General features: G+C 56.8%; 1 protein-coding gene across 3 annotated transcripts in view, besides 5 other annotated features; it reads left to right on the top strand.

The window, feature by feature from the left end:
- The window catches only part of DAB2IP (DAB2 interacting protein), a 218,457-nt gene that overhangs the window by 175,142 nt on the left and 27,350 nt on the right, over positions 1–15,965 (top strand). For 2 of the 3 annotated variants that reach the window (NM_032552.4, NM_001395010.1), the window contains exon 4: positions 14,798–14,951. In NM_032552.4, coding sequence (NP_115941.2) covers positions 14,798–14,951 — 154 coding nt within the window. Of the gene's footprint in view, positions 1–569; positions 707–14,797; positions 14,952–15,965 lie in introns of those variants that run through there. The other variant, NM_138709.2, reaches the window with a different exon arrangement.
- Positions 447–1,146: an enhancer, noted in NCBI's record as "H3K27ac-H3K4me1 hESC enhancer chr9:124504941-124505640 (GRCh37/hg19 assembly coordinates)". NCBI's record gives its function as "activates a minimal SCP1, AML or CMV promoter by ChIP-STARR-seq in naive H9 embryonic stem cells {active_cell/tissue: H9 hESC(naive)}" and the evidence as "EXISTENCE:reporter gene assay evidence [ECO:0000049][PMID:30033119]".
- Positions 6,297–6,820: an enhancer, noted in NCBI's record as "H3K27ac-H3K4me1 hESC enhancer chr9:124510791-124511314 (GRCh37/hg19 assembly coordinates)". NCBI's record gives its function as "activates a minimal SCP1, AML or CMV promoter by ChIP-STARR-seq in naive H9 embryonic stem cells {active_cell/tissue: H9 hESC(naive)}" and the evidence as "EXISTENCE:reporter gene assay evidence [ECO:0000049][PMID:30033119]".
- Positions 10,219–10,719: an enhancer, noted in NCBI's record as "H3K27ac hESC enhancer chr9:124514713-124515213 (GRCh37/hg19 assembly coordinates)". NCBI's record gives its function as "activates a minimal SCP1, AML or CMV promoter by ChIP-STARR-seq in primed H9 embryonic stem cells {active_cell/tissue: H9 hESC(primed)}" and the evidence as "EXISTENCE:reporter gene assay evidence [ECO:0000049][PMID:30033119]".
- Positions 12,138–12,753: an enhancer, noted in NCBI's record as "H3K27ac-H3K4me1 hESC enhancer chr9:124516632-124517247 (GRCh37/hg19 assembly coordinates)". NCBI's record gives its function as "activates a minimal SCP1, AML or CMV promoter by ChIP-STARR-seq in primed H9 embryonic stem cells {active_cell/tissue: H9 hESC(primed)}" and the evidence as "EXISTENCE:reporter gene assay evidence [ECO:0000049][PMID:30033119]".
- Positions 12,876–13,459: an enhancer, noted in NCBI's record as "H3K4me1 hESC enhancer chr9:124517370-124517953 (GRCh37/hg19 assembly coordinates)". NCBI's record gives its function as "activates a minimal SCP1, AML or CMV promoter by ChIP-STARR-seq in naive H9 embryonic stem cells {active_cell/tissue: H9 hESC(naive)}" and the evidence as "EXISTENCE:reporter gene assay evidence [ECO:0000049][PMID:30033119]".

The following is a 15,965-nucleotide window of genomic DNA, read 5'->3' on the forward strand; positions in this document are numbered from 1 at the left end:
TCAGGAATTTGAAACCAGCCTGACCAACATGGTGAAACCCCGTCTCTACTAAAAAAATACAAAATTAGCCAGGTGTGGTGGCCCATGCCTGTAATCCTAGCTACTCGGGAGGCTGAGGCAAGACAATCACTTGAACCCGGGAGGCAGAGGTTGTAGTGAGCTGAGATTGCGCCGTTGCACTCCAGCCTGGGCAACAAGTGTGAAACTCCATCTCAAAAAAAGAAGATAGCCACACAGCACCTACTGTGGGCCCAGCCACTCCAGGTGCCAGAATGGCCCACGCTTCTCTGAGGGTGCCGTAGACCAGGTGCTGAGACGCAGACAGTCCAGTCTCTCTTCCCTTCCTCTCCCCATCCCACTCCTATTCCAGTAACTAGGCAGGCCCTGCCCACCCTTGCCCCAGGAGAAGCTCCACTCTTGTGGACAGTGGAAGGGCCTCGGCCAGCTTGCCTGAGTCCTGGGCTTGGAAGGACGGTTGCCCCCATCTGCCTTGGTTCCCTGCACCTGCCTTTTCTTCCCCGCATCCTCCCTCTGACTGCCCGCTTTTCTCTGCTTTCACCTTCCCCTAGTGTTCCTCTTCTTTCGTGTTGTGTCAGAAGCCATGATTTCCAGTCTTCTCATCTGGAAGATGAAGGAAAAGATAGACCCGACCCCACAGGGTTCTGAGGCTCAAACTGAAAGCCTGGTGGTGGGGCACCTGTGACAGGTGAGACTCCTCATCTTGCCCCCTTCTTTCTTCATCATGAAGAAGAGACACTGGAGGATGTGGAGCAGTTGGGGCCTGTGGTCCAGGTGGGATGGAGCAGTCAGGGCCTCGTGGAGGGAGCAGGTGGGAGGAATACTCTGGCTGGGATGGACCTCACGGGGTGTGGCCCAGCTTTGCAGCTGACTTGCATGAAGTCCTGGCGAGCTGGGGAGCCCTTGCACCCTCAGCTTCCTCATCTGAAAGATGGGGCAATGGTAATGCCTGTCTGTGGAGTGGTGAGGAACAAATGAGACTGGGCCACAAAGTACCCAGTGCTGTGCCCAGCACATAGTGCCCAAAGAGGGCTGCTATCTCATCTCTTATTCCTGAGATTTAGCTTCCTTGTTTTGTTTTTGAGCTCTTTGGGACCTTCGTGGACTTTGAATTTTTACTATTGTTCATTGTGTCTAAAATCTTCCTCAGAAGCCGAGGGCCTCTAACCTGATCATGAATTTTGGAGTTTCGTTTTTTGTTTTTTTTTTCTTTCCTGTTTCCTGTATAGGAAAAAGGGACCTGTACCTTTAAGACCCCAGCAGGCCCAAGTAGGACACTGGCCCTTTAAAAGCACATTACAGAGAGTTGGAACATAGCCTTTGTTGAACTAGCCATGATTAGTCCCAGCGGACAGGGCTGGAGTGGCATGTCTGGGATCAGGGCGGGGCTAGGCTGGCCGGGGCCAGCCAGGAGCAGCGGACAGCAGGAAGGCTCGCCCGGCCACTCGGCTTCCCGAGCCTGGTGGCTATGCTGAGGGATGGTGAGTGGCCTGAGCGGAGCTTAGAATAAGAGAGGCTGGGAAAGCCAGGAGGGAGGCAGCCCCAGAGCCCAGGGAGACCTGAATGAGCTGGGCGGCAGCAGACACCCTCAGTGAGTGACTGTCACAGGAGCTGGTCCCAGGAGGGACTCCGGAGCACCCTGCCCCTCTACGCAGACATCCACTGCCGGCCCAGAATGTAGAAACGGTTAGGAGGGACCTGTGAAAAAGCGGGACACCAAGAAGAGCACTGTTGCTGTTTTTAGTTTTTAAAATAAGAGGAAGCCCAGTGTGAGTTGCTCTGTCCCCCAGGCGCGGTGTCCCCTGTGGTGTGCTCCGTTGAGAACTGGGAAATGCCAGGGACTGCTGACAAGTTTTCTGAGCTGAGGAGCTTGGCCTTTGCTCTGAGTGGCCGAACCTTTGGCTGGCTGGGTGGGGCTGCACTGGGGTTTGGGGGCCATGGTATCTCTGCCCCAGCTCCTCAGCAGAACTTTGTTTTTTCTTCTCCCTTCCTGCTTCCACTCCCTAGTCCATGGGGCCCAGGCCCACTGGGTGGGGTGGAGGCGGGTGGGAGACTGGGAAGACTGTGTCTGGGCCAGGAGCGTGTTTTGGCTCTGCTTGAATATTTGAAACAGTTGTCAGAAGCCAGATCACTTTGGTGTGGTAGCGTCTTTACTGGGCAAGTACCCATTTCTGAAAAAAAGTCAGAGGAAGGATTGGGCTTGTTACAGCCAAGTCTCAGTGCAGGTTGGTCCTAACCGCCTTCATTGCCACGGCTGGGGGCGGATGAGACTGCCTGCCAGTAGGTGTCCTCACTGTTTTACAGACAGCCACCCAGGAGGTGACAAAGGCAGGGCTCAGTACATTTCTGGTGACCCAGGCTTCCTGTAGTTACTTAAAAGTTGGTGCATTTGGTCATAGGATTTTTGTAGGTTTGGTGAAAACCTGAGGCATTGACGGGCAGTGAAGAGAGTTTGAAGTTAGAGCCGAAGTGCCAGGTGTCCTGTTCCACCCTTGTGCCTGTGAATCGTGACCTCAGGCAAGCTGTTTGACCTCTCTGAGCCTCTGCTTCAGAGCAGAGGGCGTGTGCATAGGCGCAAACCCTGGAGGGAGTTGTCAGTTCTGGGGGAGGCTTTGTGGAGGTGGTGGCCTTTGAGCCAGGCGTAGACGGATAGGCTGCTGGAGTGCAACCCCTTGAGCAGAGGCGTGCAGTTTAGCATGATGAGCCAGATAGGGCCAAGCAGGGCTGGCATGGCTGGGTTGGGACCTGGAAACGTAGCTTGGGAAGCTGGATTTTAAGTATGTTGCTTTCTCAGTTGGAATCCTGTGGGCCAGGTGGCAGATGACAGGGCTAGCTTAGCCTGGAGTCAGCCAGTGTGGAATGTGGGGGAAAAGGGCAGACGGTGAAGTCTGACACACTGGCCTTGGGAAGCCCCTGGAGGTGTCAGAGCCTCATTCTTTGCTGCAGTTAGCTGTGTGAGGGTCAGAGGTGCAGAGACAGCCCTACGTGCCCTTCCCAGGTATGTGGGCTCACTGTGGTGTGGTGGGTGAGCAGGTACTTGAGAGCCACAGGTGGCTTTGGTGCATGGTCACTGGCAGCAGGAGGAACTCAGCAGCCACACTCCTGGTTTTCTTTGACATGGTGTCTGAGTTTCTGCCCGTGCCAGTGGCCTGGAACCCTGTGGCTTACTGAGAGCCACTTTCCTGCTGTCTTGCTGCTGCTGAACACTCCTGGTTGTCTCCTGCTAGTTACAGCCTGAGAAGCAGCTGCTCTGGTGCCCCACGCAGACTTCCAGACCTCAGGCTTTGGGAGGAATGGGCAGCTGACATCCCTAGGCCCATAGCCCCACATGCTCCTGCAGACATAGTGGAGGCGCTCAGTGGCTGTGCTGGTGGCTGGATCAACTCTGCCCAGGATTGGGGCGGGGCGGGGGTGGGGGGTGGGGTGCCTTAGCATGATACATCTTCAGCAAATTGTGCCAGGAGGCAAGGGCAACCCACTTGACGGGGTAGGATGCTGAGGTGCAGGAGAGGCCCATCCGAGGTCCACACTCCTTTGGCCCAGTGCTCCTTCCCTTCACATCTTCACCTCTTCTGTCTCTCTGAGCTCAAGCTGCCAACAAGGAGGGAGCCTCTGTCCCAAATGGTGGCTGGAATTGAAGAGATAGCTGAGCTGGAGTGACCACTGGGGCTGGAGTCTAGGGTGCCAGCATTTGTTCGTAGATTTGTCCATCTCTTCTTAAATGGGGGTCTTTCAGATTCCTGCTTAAAACGGCCTGTACTCTGGAGCCTGCTCTTGAGGTAAGGGGGTAGAGCAGGTGAGGTGGTCTGGGGTCAGTTGGCAGAGGGGCTTTTTGAGAGCTCAGCTGTGGGGGGAGAGTCAGGAAGGATCTGCTGGGCAGAGTGAGAGACAGATCTTGGAAATGTCCTGGGCCCAGGAAGAAGCCAGGAGCATCCAGAGAAGTGCTGGCAGGAAGGGCGTGCGGGAAGGGACAGAATGCCCCGGGAAGGCAGTCTCAGCCCAGCCTGGATGGTAATGGGGGCAGCCAGGGCTGGTTACTGAGGCTGTGTATGGAGAGCTCGCTGCAGGTCAGTTGAGCCCTACAGCCAAAGGTGGTGGTGTCCCTGTTTTCCAGATGAGAAAACTGAGGCACACAGGTTAATTAATTTGACCAAAGTCACAGAGTTTTGTGTGTGTGTTTTTAAGGAACCATGCCTGCTTACCACCTTCAACCAGCATAGTGCCAGGAGCTGGGGCTCTGCGGACAAATGGCTGGTCCTTGGTTGAGGCAGGAAACCTGGCCCTCAAGGATGAGGGAAGGAGGCCATCCCTAGATCACCCCAACATGAATGGCCCACCTGGTCCCAGGAAGTAACGTGGCATGGCGCCCAGGTCTTGGGTGGAGGAGATGAGATGGAAGAAGATGCTGCCTCTGCCCCCGCATTCTAGGGGGGGCCCAGCATGAGCTAAGGAGGGCTTCCTGGATGTGGAGAGCTGGGAGGAATTAGATAAGCCAGAGGGGAAGCACTTCCTGGAGAATGGAAATACTCGCTTTTCAGCTAATTTATTCTTTTGTTTCATTATCATTTCCCACTTGGGTCTCGCATCCCCAGGGCCCTGAGGTGGCTGTTGGAGGTATTTATGGTCCCGGGTGGGGTGCAGGGACCAGTTAGAAACCAGTCCCACTCAGGCCATGATGCATGGGTGTGTTCACATGTGAGGAGGAGCCAGGCACAGACTGAGCTCAAGGAGAGGGAACGCATGGGTCAGGGCCTTGAAACATTCTCAGGAGTGGTGCTGAGTGGAGAGATGGGGGAGGGCAGTGGGCTAGCATGTTTGTGGTGGGCTCTAGAGCTTGGGAGCTTCAGAGTTGCTGCAGTTGTGGCTGGGGTTGGAGCCCCAGGTGCTGTGCAGGGAGGTTGGGCTCTTTTCCTGGGGCTGGGGGTAGGGGGACTGTCACTCTCCCTAAACTTTCTGAGCAGCCAGGCTAAGCCTGATAGTTTTTCCTACAGGCCAGGGAGGGCTGCAGGGTTGTCCCTGCTCAGAAGCAAGAGGGGCAGGGGCAGCTAGCCCACAGCTCACTTCTGATTTGCCCACCACTCACCCTCGTCAATGAGTGTTCCTTAGATGCTTTTTTTTTTTTTTTTTCCCCTGAGACAGAGTCTCGCTCTGTCGCCCAGGCTGGAGTGCAGTGGCACTATCTTGGCTCACTGCAAGCTCCACCTCTCAGGTTCACACCATTCTCCTGCCTCAGCCTCCCGAGTAGCTGGGACTACAGGCGCCCGCCATCACGCCCAGCTAATTTTTTGTATTTTTGGTAGAGATGGGGTTTCACCGTGTTAGCCAGGATGGTCTCGATCTCCTGACCTCATGATCCACCTGCCTCGGCCTCCCAAAGTGCTGGGATTACAGGCGTGAGCCACCGCGCCCGGCCTAGATGCTCTTCTTTTAAAATTCAGGGCACTTCGCTGTTCTGCTGAGGTTTATGAATGTTTAAAAACTGCTTTGCGGTCCCCAAAGTAATTTGACAAGTCTGACAGCTATTGATTAAAAACCCGAAATTATTCAGGCTGCAGGATGACTTGGGGGATTAGATGGAAAGTTTTTTGTTTCTTCTCTCTCTCTCTGCACCCCTCCTCCCCCGCAAAAAAAAAAAAAAGAAAGAAAGAAATAAGATGTGGAAAGGTAAATGTGTTCCTGAATGTTTTTTGAAAACTCCATTAGGCTTGCACAGTTTATACGGGGAGAGGATGTTGAAGGCTGCCTCTCATTCAGGAGCCAGTACCAGCGCCCTCTCGAATCCCTGGTCTCTCCGGAGCTTTGGCCCAAGTCACCCCAGGCAGCAGTGAGATGTTGCTATTACATTATTACAGGTGATGGTAGTGGTGTTGGTAGCAGTTATGATAGTTTATGGTCCCTTATGTTCTAGGGAGTTGACGTAGGGTTTTTGTGGCTTTCTCTGAAGTAGCTCAGCGTGTGAGGAAATGGCACCTAGAAGGGGGAGGAAACTCGTTCAGGGTCTGTGATAGACCTTAGATACAGCTGGGATAGAGACCAAAGACTCCTTCAGGGAGAGGAACGGGCCGTTGCTGGGGTGCTGGGCTGATTGGATGCCTGGCCTCCAGGCCTGACTCACTGTGAGGTAGGTGCCAAGAGTGTCCCACAGAGGGTGACCAGGCCGTTAGAACCCCAGCTTTCACTTCTGGACCATGTGACCTAGCCAAGCCACTCCCTGTCTCTAAGCCTCAGTTTCCTCTTTAGAGAACGTCCTAAAGCTTCCATTGAGCCTTTTGGATTAACTGGCTCATGTATTGCCCCATGAGCCAGGGCTTGTGGGACCTGAGCTTGAATACCCACTCTCCCTTTCTTCTGGGGCAGTGCTGCCTTTTGTGCAGAGTTGTTGGGAGAAGGCCATGAGATGATGTTTGTACTTTGGTGAGAACACCTGCAACTGGCACATGGTAGGTGCTTAGTAAGTGGCTGTTAGGTCCAGGCTGCCACAGTGTCATTCATTTAGTCAGCCTATATTGGGCACCACGGGACACCAGGCCTCACAGCAAGCATGAGCTGTCCCATCCTCCTGTTTTGGTTGCAGGGTGTGGACCCTCCTCTGCCAGCTCAGCCCTGTGATGTGGGGGGAAGCACAGGCTCCCAGGGGTGAGGGCAGAAGGCCACGTGTCTCCCTGTCTCACAGCCCAGGGCGTTCTGTGTGTATGGGGGCGTCACAACTGGGTCTTGGTGACTGCTAGGACCTACCCCTTACCTTGGCCTGAGGGAACCCTGGGTTGAGAGGGACCACGCCTCTGGGCCCTGTCATCCCTGGAAGACTTCCCAGGCAGGGCAGCCAACCTTTCTGCCTTTTTAGGACAGGCTCTGTCTCCCCAGGGCCCTGGGAGCCACCAGGCGGCTGCATTCCTCTCCTCTCCCCTGGGATCCCAGCTGGGCCAGGAGTGAGCACTGGCCTTCTGAGCAGCCGGTTCCCAGGCCAGCGGGGCAAGGCTGGGCTTGGGGAGAGAGCTCTGCTGGACATACTAGGCAGGGCGCTGCCCTGTTTATGTCCTGCCGTTTGATTCCCAGCAGGTCAGTGCATTCATTGTGACCATGTCCAGACTCTCTTTTTTTCCAGTGTGGGCAGACGCTTCTAGCACAGCCTCTGGACCTGCCTGGCTATGACAGGCAGAAGCATGATTGGCATGTTCTGACCTGATGAGGCCTAGAGAGTCTGCTGAAGTCCTGACTGCAGAACCATCAGGTCCTGCCAGCCTTTGGGTGGGCACCAACTCTGTGGAGACAAACCTTGTCCAGGATTTCTCTTCCTTCCAGACCTGGTTGGGGTAGTGGACAGTGGCTTGGGACCACACAGGCTGGTGGGCTGGAGACTGGGGCTGGAGATGGCTGTGCTTGGGAGTCCCAGGCAGAGGGGCTAAAGGGGCCTCCTCACGGGGGTCTACTGCCCACTGCTAGGCACACCTTCTTCTCCTTTCATTTCGCCTCAGGAAATGAAGGGCTTTTTAAAGAAATTTGAGGCATCCCAGAGCATTTGGGCAGATATGATTGATCCCCATTTTGCAGATGGGGAAAACTGAGGCATGGAGAACGTAAAGCGTTTGAGTCGTCACGGGACAGGAACAGGAAACAGCCTGGGAAGTCCATATCTTGTCACTCCAAATTGTCAAAAGTGTGACCTATCCCAGAAATGTCAGCCTTGATAGCAGCGTGTGCATCGTTCACCAGTGTTGTTCATAGCTGTGTCTCCAGCTCCTGACATCGTGGCTGGCAATGAGGTGGGCGAATGGAACAGACCAAAGAGGCATGAACAGTTATGAGCAATGGATGGGAGTCACTGACACCCCTGCCCTCCTGAGCCTCCCGCCTGCATGGTCTCATTTGATCCTTAGAGCAACCCATGAGGAAGGTGTGTCGTTATCCTCACTACGGATGGGGAAACTGAGTCCTAGAGAGTCGAATGACTTAAAGTATCCAAGGTTGTATATTTCATAAGGAATAGAGACTCGGTTTGCTCTGCAGCCAGGCACCCTTGACACTAGGCCCTCTGTCCTCCTGCCCGCTCGCAGCTGCAGGTGCATTTCTGTAGCATTCACTTGTGTGCGCGCGCGCGTGTGTGTGTGTGTTTAATCCCAGGGCCCACTGCACTGCCTGCCTTTGTGTACTGCCCAGCCCATTACCCTGGCAGCCCTAGCCATGCAGCATGTCTTAAAGGGGCCCCCCGGCTCCTGCTTGCACACTTTCAGAGACAGGGAGCCCACTCTCTCTAAAACCAGACGAGCCTGGCCCATTCAAGGACAGCTGTGACTGAGCTGGAAGTGGCCTCTCCTGGTCCCAGCCTTGCCCTTTGGGGCCACACAGGGCAGCTCCCTCTGAGCTTTCGAGATTTGGAGGGTGACCCTGAGCCCCTTATTTTCCGACCAAACAATCCCACTCTCAATTCCCCCCACCCAATAGTTGGGAACACCCTTGCTGTGTCAAGTAGGGATTTTTAATTACTGTAAGTTTCGGTTTGGGGTCCTTTCCCTCCTTGGAATAATGAGTTTGCTGAGCTTTTGTGTCACCGACCTTTTAAGAGAAAAAAGGATCAGAGTTGAAAAACAGCTTGTGGGTTGGCTGGAACGCTATCAGATAAGGCTAGGCCCCAGGAGCCAGGACAGTGTCCCCATTGTTCTGCCACCAGCCCTCACAATGAGCTGCTGTTGGGCCCTGGCGCTGTCTCTCATAGCAGCTCCCCGTGCCTTGTGCCCACGTTTCCTGGGCCCTGGGCAGGGGCTGCCCCATCCCTGTATCCCCCGGTCCTTCCTTCCCCACCTGGAGTGAGTGGGTCACAGCTAGTGGGTTAGCTGGCTGTGGACCTTTCCCTGCTGCCCGGCTGCTGTGGACCTTTCCCCCTGCCCGGCTGCTGTGGACCTTTCCCTGCTGCCCGGCTGCTGTGGACCTTTCCCCCTGCCCGGCTGCTATGGACCTTTCCCTGCTGCCCAGCTGCTGTGGGCCACCCCTGGACGATGGAAAGGCCAAGCCAAGGCTGGTGCAGTTAGTCTTGAACTCCGCTGAACTGGGTTCACATCTGACTCGGCCACTTGCTATGCATGTGATCTTGGGCAGGTCACCTCAACTTTCTGGGTGCACCTTTTTAGTCCTGACAGGATTGTCACGAGAATTAAGTGGAACAGGTGGGAGATTGTGGCCCTGAGCCGGGCTTAGGTAGCGTAGTGTGAGCTGTCTGTCTGGAGAGACCAGGGACCACTTTGTGGTGGTGACATTGGGCTGGCCCTTGAAAACTGAGGAAGGACTTTGTTTGGCAAAGAAGTGGAGGGAGAGGCAGAATGGACAGGCTCAGGAGACTGCTTGGACATGGACCCCTGGAGGATAAGAGTTTGCAGCTTTGTCAGGAAGTAGCTGGGGAGGAGAGTCCAGGTCACTTGTGCGAGGGGCCTTTCAGGAGGGCTCGGACACCAGCTTGAGGCATCTGGGACTTGATTATCTTACAGGCCATGAGGCGAGAGAGGAGGGACAGGAGTGAGGCCATGCCAGGCGGAGTGGCTTGTTCAGTGGAGGGTGCTGCTTTGGTCTAGACAGGAGAAGGCCAGTGGAACTCCCATTCCCCTCTGCCCTCCCATGCCCTGGCCAAGCTCCTCTGTAGCAGCGGAGTCCAGGGCAGGTCACCCTAGCCATGGCCTTGGCTGTCCCGTGTGTGACCTGGATGTCATGGTGCCACCTCCTTCCTGGGAGCAGTAAGGATTCCATGCCATGGAGGACAGGTAAAGGGTCTCTAGTCCCTGGAGCGCTGTCATGGGGCTAGTGATCTGCCATGTTTAGAAGGGTCTCGGCTGGGGCCGTGGGGAGCAGTGTGCAGCCACAGAGGGTAGGATGAGCCTCCTAACCTTGAGAGGGATGGGGGAAGCGGCCCATACTTGGACAGAGCAAGGGCAGGGGCATTTCCCGGAGACTCTGGAATGAACATTGGAATGCTGCTCTTGGGACTTGGCCTTGAACAGGCAGCTGCCCTGACGACCCACCCTCAGGCCTTCTTCGTCCCTCCTCCAAGGGAACAACCACGTCACCAGGGTTTGCAGGCTGAGGGAGGGCTATCCCTATCCCCACTGACCTCCCGTTCCCTCTGAGCTTAGCTGACCTTGGCTGCTGGTGTGTTGGGGTTTTGGTCCAGGAACTCTAAGGCTCTGGACCTTGGAGCCAGCCAGACCCAACTTTACCCACAAGGAGCCCCCTGCCTGACAAGGAGCCAGTTCTGTGACAGACCTTCCCAGCACAGCCTGGATATGGCTGTCTGCCCAGGGAGCCCAGGAAGGCTTCAGGGAAGAAGGGGCACTGAAGCTGGGTGCTGAAGGTTGGGTAGGAAGGGGAAGGACAGCATGTGCCTGGGGCCCTGCCTGAGACTCCTGCTTCCTGGGATGGAGGGGCCCAGCAGGCAGGCCGCTGCGAGAGTGGGCCTGGTCAGGTGGAGCAGGGAGGTAGATGCCAGCCAGTGGCTCAGAGTGCCAAGTTCTGGGGCTGGCATTGAATCCCGTGTGGTCTCAAGAGGGGATCCCTTCACCCCCACAACTCAAAGGGCTGGGAAATACCTCCCCGTGAAGGCGCTGTCTTCACAGCACTTTCAGCATGTGCCGGCTGCCAGTGTTTTCTGGGTGAAGCAAGCCACCTTCCTCCTTTTTCAGATGAGGAAATGGACCCAAGAGGTTTGGGTGTCGCAGCAACACTAGATCAAAGATGGGATGCTGGGGCACATCTCTTGCCCTCCCTGGCAGGCCTCAGTTTCTCCCCTGTAAAGCGGGGTGAGGTCAGCATCTGCCTCTTGGGCTCGTGGAGATTCTGTGAGGTGACTTGTGTGGTGGTTCATGTGACGCATGGCCCAAGGTAAGCCCGGCCTGGGGACGCCAGCTCCACCCTGGTGGGAGGCAGGCAGTGTGGAGTCCACGCCCTGGTTTGAGACCTGCTTCTGTAGGTAGTAGAGGTGCCACATCCTGGCAGGGTTGTTGTAAGAAGTAGCTCAGACCTGGGCCGTGGAAGTGATTTGCAGGGGTGGAATCCCCATGTGAAGGCCTTTTGCCCTCCTTGGTGCCACCTCGCCTAGGGGACCAAAGCTCTAGTCTCCAAGGACCACAAGAGGTCAGAGGGGAAAGCTGTCATGAGACTGAGCTAGGCACAGGGTCGGGAGGATGCCGTGGGCCATGCAATTGGGCCACCTTCTCTTCCACCCCAGCCTTGGGCAGCAGAGAGGGACTTGACCCAGGGCTGGGGGACGGCAGAAGCCCTGAATACAGGGGCATCAGCCCCCAGATACCACACCACATAGGGTAGCTGTGGGCATGGCTCCTGGACTGACCTGGTTCCCATCCCAGCAGGGGGCCTTGGGCGGCTCAAGTAACTGCTCCTCCCTGAGCCTGTCATACCTTTCTGTAAAATGGGTAGATGAATACTCCTGGCAGGGCTGTGTGCTGTTGAAATATGAAAAAAGGGATGTGCAAGTGACCAGCTGGGCGCTCACCTTGTGCTGACTAGAGGTGGGTGCCTACAGGCATCCCTTCCTGGGAGTGGAATGGGAGTGAGGTAGAGACCAGTGCCTGCTTCCCTCCTTTCACCTGAGCGTCCCGGGTAGGGAAGCTGAGCCTATCCCTGCCCCTTTGGAGCCTGGGCAGTCTTTGGTACCCATCTTCTGCCCTGCCTCTAATGCGCTGCTTCCCTAGGCTGGCAAGGCAGAGGCTGGAGGTGAAAAAGGAAGTGGCCCAACAATGCCAGCATGGGATGAAGCCAGGGTAGGGGAGAAGCCTGCCTTGGGTGACTGATGGAGCAAGCAGTCCCTGCTGTGAAGTGGCCAGGGACTGCTGCAAGCACAGGACAGGGCTGGCTTCCCAGAGAGGTGGTTCTTGGGCCTTGAATTGGTCCTGCTGGGTTCAGGAAGTGACCAAATGACCATTTTTCCTTCCTTAGCCCCCTCATCTTATCAGCTACCACCATGGGCACACCCTGGCAGGGTCACAGCAGACCAGCTCCCTCTGGGCCCAGATGAGGGAGGGACCGAGGACACTGTGTTTCAGGGCCTGTAGACTCCAGGCTGGTCAGGAAGGAAACGCATAGGAACGTGAGTGAGAGAGTACGGGTCCACTGGCCCTGCCTCCACCACCCACCCGCTTGCTGTACTATCCAGGAAGGAGTAGCCTGGGAGAGCTTGCGGGAACCACTTGGGGCCTCCCTGGGCCTGCCCTGCCCCTATTCCTCTTCCTCCCAGAGAGCTTGGGCTGCAGGGATGGATGCAGCCTCTGCTTTACATCCCACCCCGTGGAGAAGCTCCCAGGGAAGCGGGGAGGGTCATGGCTGCCCAGGTAGGCCGGGCCAGTCCAAGGTGTCTTAAGGGCCTTGAGCTTCCCTACAGCCCTCTCTTCTGCCAGGATCCTTTCCAGGTCAGCCAGAGCATGCTTGTGGGACATGGTGGGGAAGGAAGGGGAGGGCTCTGCAACCACAGACTCCAGGATCTGGCTGTTTTGGGGTCTGGCCTGGGCCTGCTGGGCTCCTGGGGTTGCAGGACCAGGGTCTCCTTGGGTTTCCCTGGGCAGGCCCAGCCTGCTGAAGCATGCCTCGCCTCTCCTCTCCACAGCCAGCTCATTCATGCGCCCCAGGCAGGAGGCGGCCTCAGCTCACCAGCTCCCCGCTCTGTACTTCCTGGGTCCCTACCCCACCCTCCCTGGCTCCCAGCATCCTTACCTGGCAGAGATTTTCCAAGCTAGGCCAGAAAGCAGCCCAATCCCAGCCAGTGTGACTTCCCTACTATCAGGCAGGGCGTCTCTTCCACTGAGGTATGAAGCCCCATGTGGGAGGGAGGCCTGGAGTCCACCCTGGGAGGTGGGCGGCTCAGGTGGAATCTCAGCCCAGGGAGGGCAGGCCCACCCACGGCACTGGTCATTGCCGTGATGGGGAGGAGGCCAGGCCGCTCGAGCAAGGCCTTGAGGGATTATCAGGAGAAGAGGCCTGTTCCAACACAGCGGTGTGGCGGTGTGATGTGGTGGTGTGGCGGTGTGGCGTGGCAGGTAGGCCAGTGCCCCTTTGTGAACTGGACCTCCCAGGGAGAGTGCCTCAGAGGAGCAGAGGCACATGCTGGGCTTGTCCATGGGCTTAGGCCACAACGGGAAGCCCCAGGTGGGAGTCCTTGTGGGAGTTGGGGAGGGTTCCCCCCTGTCTTGAACTTGTCTCACAGTTTTCCTCTGGCTCTGCCCATTCCCTCTGCTTTCAGAGGCCAGCTTCGTGCTGGGTGTGGAGAGGCAGAGGGAGCCGGTTGACTGGGGCTCCTGGGCTGGCCTCTGTGGGGTATCTAAGGGTTGGGATTCCCTCAGCTCTGACTCCTTACGGCATCTAGCATGGGACTCCATGTTGGGGAGGGCTCTTATGCTCAGAGGGCTGTTGCCATGGAGATGTGGAGCTTGGGGTGGGAGGGTGGCTACTGTCAGCCTGAGTCCCTCTGAGCAGGGCTCTTCCTGCTCACCTCTGGATTCTTGAGCACCCATGGAGTGGGCCTCAGCCCGCTGACCCGGGGCAGTCGCAGAAATGAGTGTACAGGGTATGCATCCTACAGGGAAGTGTCTGGTGGCTCTGCCAAGCTGCGAGCCCCTCAAGGTCAGGGACCAAGCCTCAGCATAGCCCAAGGTAGGGGTCTTGGTTTGGCGAGGCAGGGAGAGAATGATGGACTGAGCACTTGGACCATTGGAACCAGGAGCCAAAGGGCATAGGGCGTTGGGGGTAGGAGGTCCATGTGGGCTAAGCCTGGAGTAGGTTTTTCACCAACCCCAGGGTTTGAGCCCTGGACACAAGCAGGGCTCAGCTTCTGCACCAGAGATGGTCTTAGCAGGCCCAGCCTGTCCTCACGCTTTTCCTCTGTCCCACCGTGGGGGCTGGGGGCTCTAAGAGGACACTGCTCTGTGCTGCTGACTTTGGAGAGACTTTACCTAACCCTAGAGCAGGTGTCATCTGCGGTGCTTTCCCTGTGATGCACTGAGGAAACAGGCTCAGAGGAGAACGATTTCCCCAGGGCCACACAGCAGGGGAGCAGCGGGCCCAGGTCTGGTCTGCGTTTGGGTGCCGGGTGGCATCAGCCCTGTGCTCTTTGTGCCTGTGTCGGAGCCACTGACCTGGGCCCTGAGTCCCAGCATGGGGACCCCGATGGAGTGTGTGTCTTGGGTACTGTGCAGAGACTGCTGCATCCCTTCTGCTTCGAGACTCGCCTCGCCTCGCTGTCCTCATCTGTAAGATGGGAGCAGCAGGGTCCCTGTGGCTTTCCCTCGTGTGGGTCTGCTGGTGTGGGACAGTGTATGAGGAAGGGCTGTTGGCAGTGGTATGCTGGATAAATGTTGGGGCAGAGTGACTGCTCAGTCTTGGACAAGGACCAGTGCAAAAGAGAGGGGAAATGGGAAAGCGCCCAGAACTGCAGACAGCTGCCTGGGTCAGGCGGGCTTTCCTTGGGTCTCTGAGACTTCTCAGGAGCCAAGCTGGCCCAGGCCCCGCAGGCTCACTTGCAAATATTAACCCCGGAGTGGCGCCTAATCCTCACCTTCTTGCTCTCTGAGAGGCTGAGCCCCCAGCCAGACTCTTGCAGTCGGGAGGAGGTTCCCACCAGTCTCTGTGACAGCCCTGCCCCCAGATCTGTCTTAAGACAGAAAGGAGAGAGAGTGGAGAGGAGTGGCTGCCTGCTGGAAGGGGCACGGCCAGGGCAGATGGGTGGGACATGGCAACCAGCTTGACCCGGGCTGTGGGGGCCCACCTGACACACCTACTGCCACCCCAGGTCCCATCTGATGCCGAGGCTGAAGGAGTCTCGCTCCCACGAGTCCCTGCTCAGCCCCAGCAGTGCGGTGGAGGCGCTGGACCTCAGCATGGAGGAAGAGGTGGTCATCAAGCCCGTGCACAGCAGCATCCTTGGCCAGGACTACTGCTTCGAGGTGGGTCCCATCACAGGGGTTGGGGTGGACACCCCATCCTCTCCTGGCCTGGCTGGTCTCCTCCAGACATCCTCCTGGAGTCCAGTCTGCTGTGGCCTCAGCAGGGGCCAGGGTCTTGGGGACAGTGGCTAGTAGTTACCGATAGCTTTCAGCTCCTAAGAGACCTGGTGGAGCTGGGGTGGAGGCTGTCCTTCCTACTCTCTAGGTTCTCTGGAAATGGGCCAGCACCTGTTCTCCATGCTAGCCTGAAGCTGCTGGGGCCCCCAGTGGATGACAGTGAGTAGGGGAAAAGCCTGAATTTCTTAAGCACCAGAGCCCATGTCTTAGAGCCTGCTCACCTCCCAAATGCAGTGTGGATAGCAGAGAGTCTCCCCTTGTCTGGGCCTGTTTCCCACTGTGAACAATGAGAGCCCAAATCTGTCCTGCCCTGGCATTCTGCGACCTGAGGTTTGAATGCAGAGAGCCAGTGACCCACCTGGGGATGACCTGTCCAGTCCCTCATAGGAAATGGGGGATCTGAGGCCCAGAGAAGGCACAAAGACATCAGAGGTCACACAGCAAGGCTGAGACCAAGCCGGGAGCAGGGTTACTATTGTTGCAGGTGTTCCTGGGAGTTACTAATTGCTTCTGCAGTTATTCATATTGCTTCCTACCAGTTTCTGGGAAGATTCCTACCCCCAATAATCATGCATAACTAGGAGAGCTCTCTTGTAGAGGAATGAGCCTGGTAATGAAAAGCAGCCACTTGGGGACTAGTGTGACAATCTCCTGGCACCCCCAGCCCTGGGGAAAAAACAGAATGGTGCCTGGCACCTGCCCCATACCCTGTGCCCACTGGGGACCATTTCTGGTTCAGGACTCCTGGCCAAGCCAGGCTTGATCTGGGTTCTGACTTCCTTGCCAGGGATAGGGTGAAGATGGCCCTGTCTGCTGGTTCACAGCAGGGGGTTCTGTGGAGGGTGCAGGCCCTCGAATGCCGTGTGAGGAGTGTGCTTCCCCTGCAGAGACCCGGGT

Source organism: Homo sapiens, chromosome 9, assembly GCF_000001405.40.
Source record: "Homo sapiens chromosome 9, GRCh38.p14 Primary Assembly".
Taxonomy (NCBI): domain Eukaryota; kingdom Metazoa; phylum Chordata; class Mammalia; order Primates; family Hominidae; genus Homo; species Homo sapiens.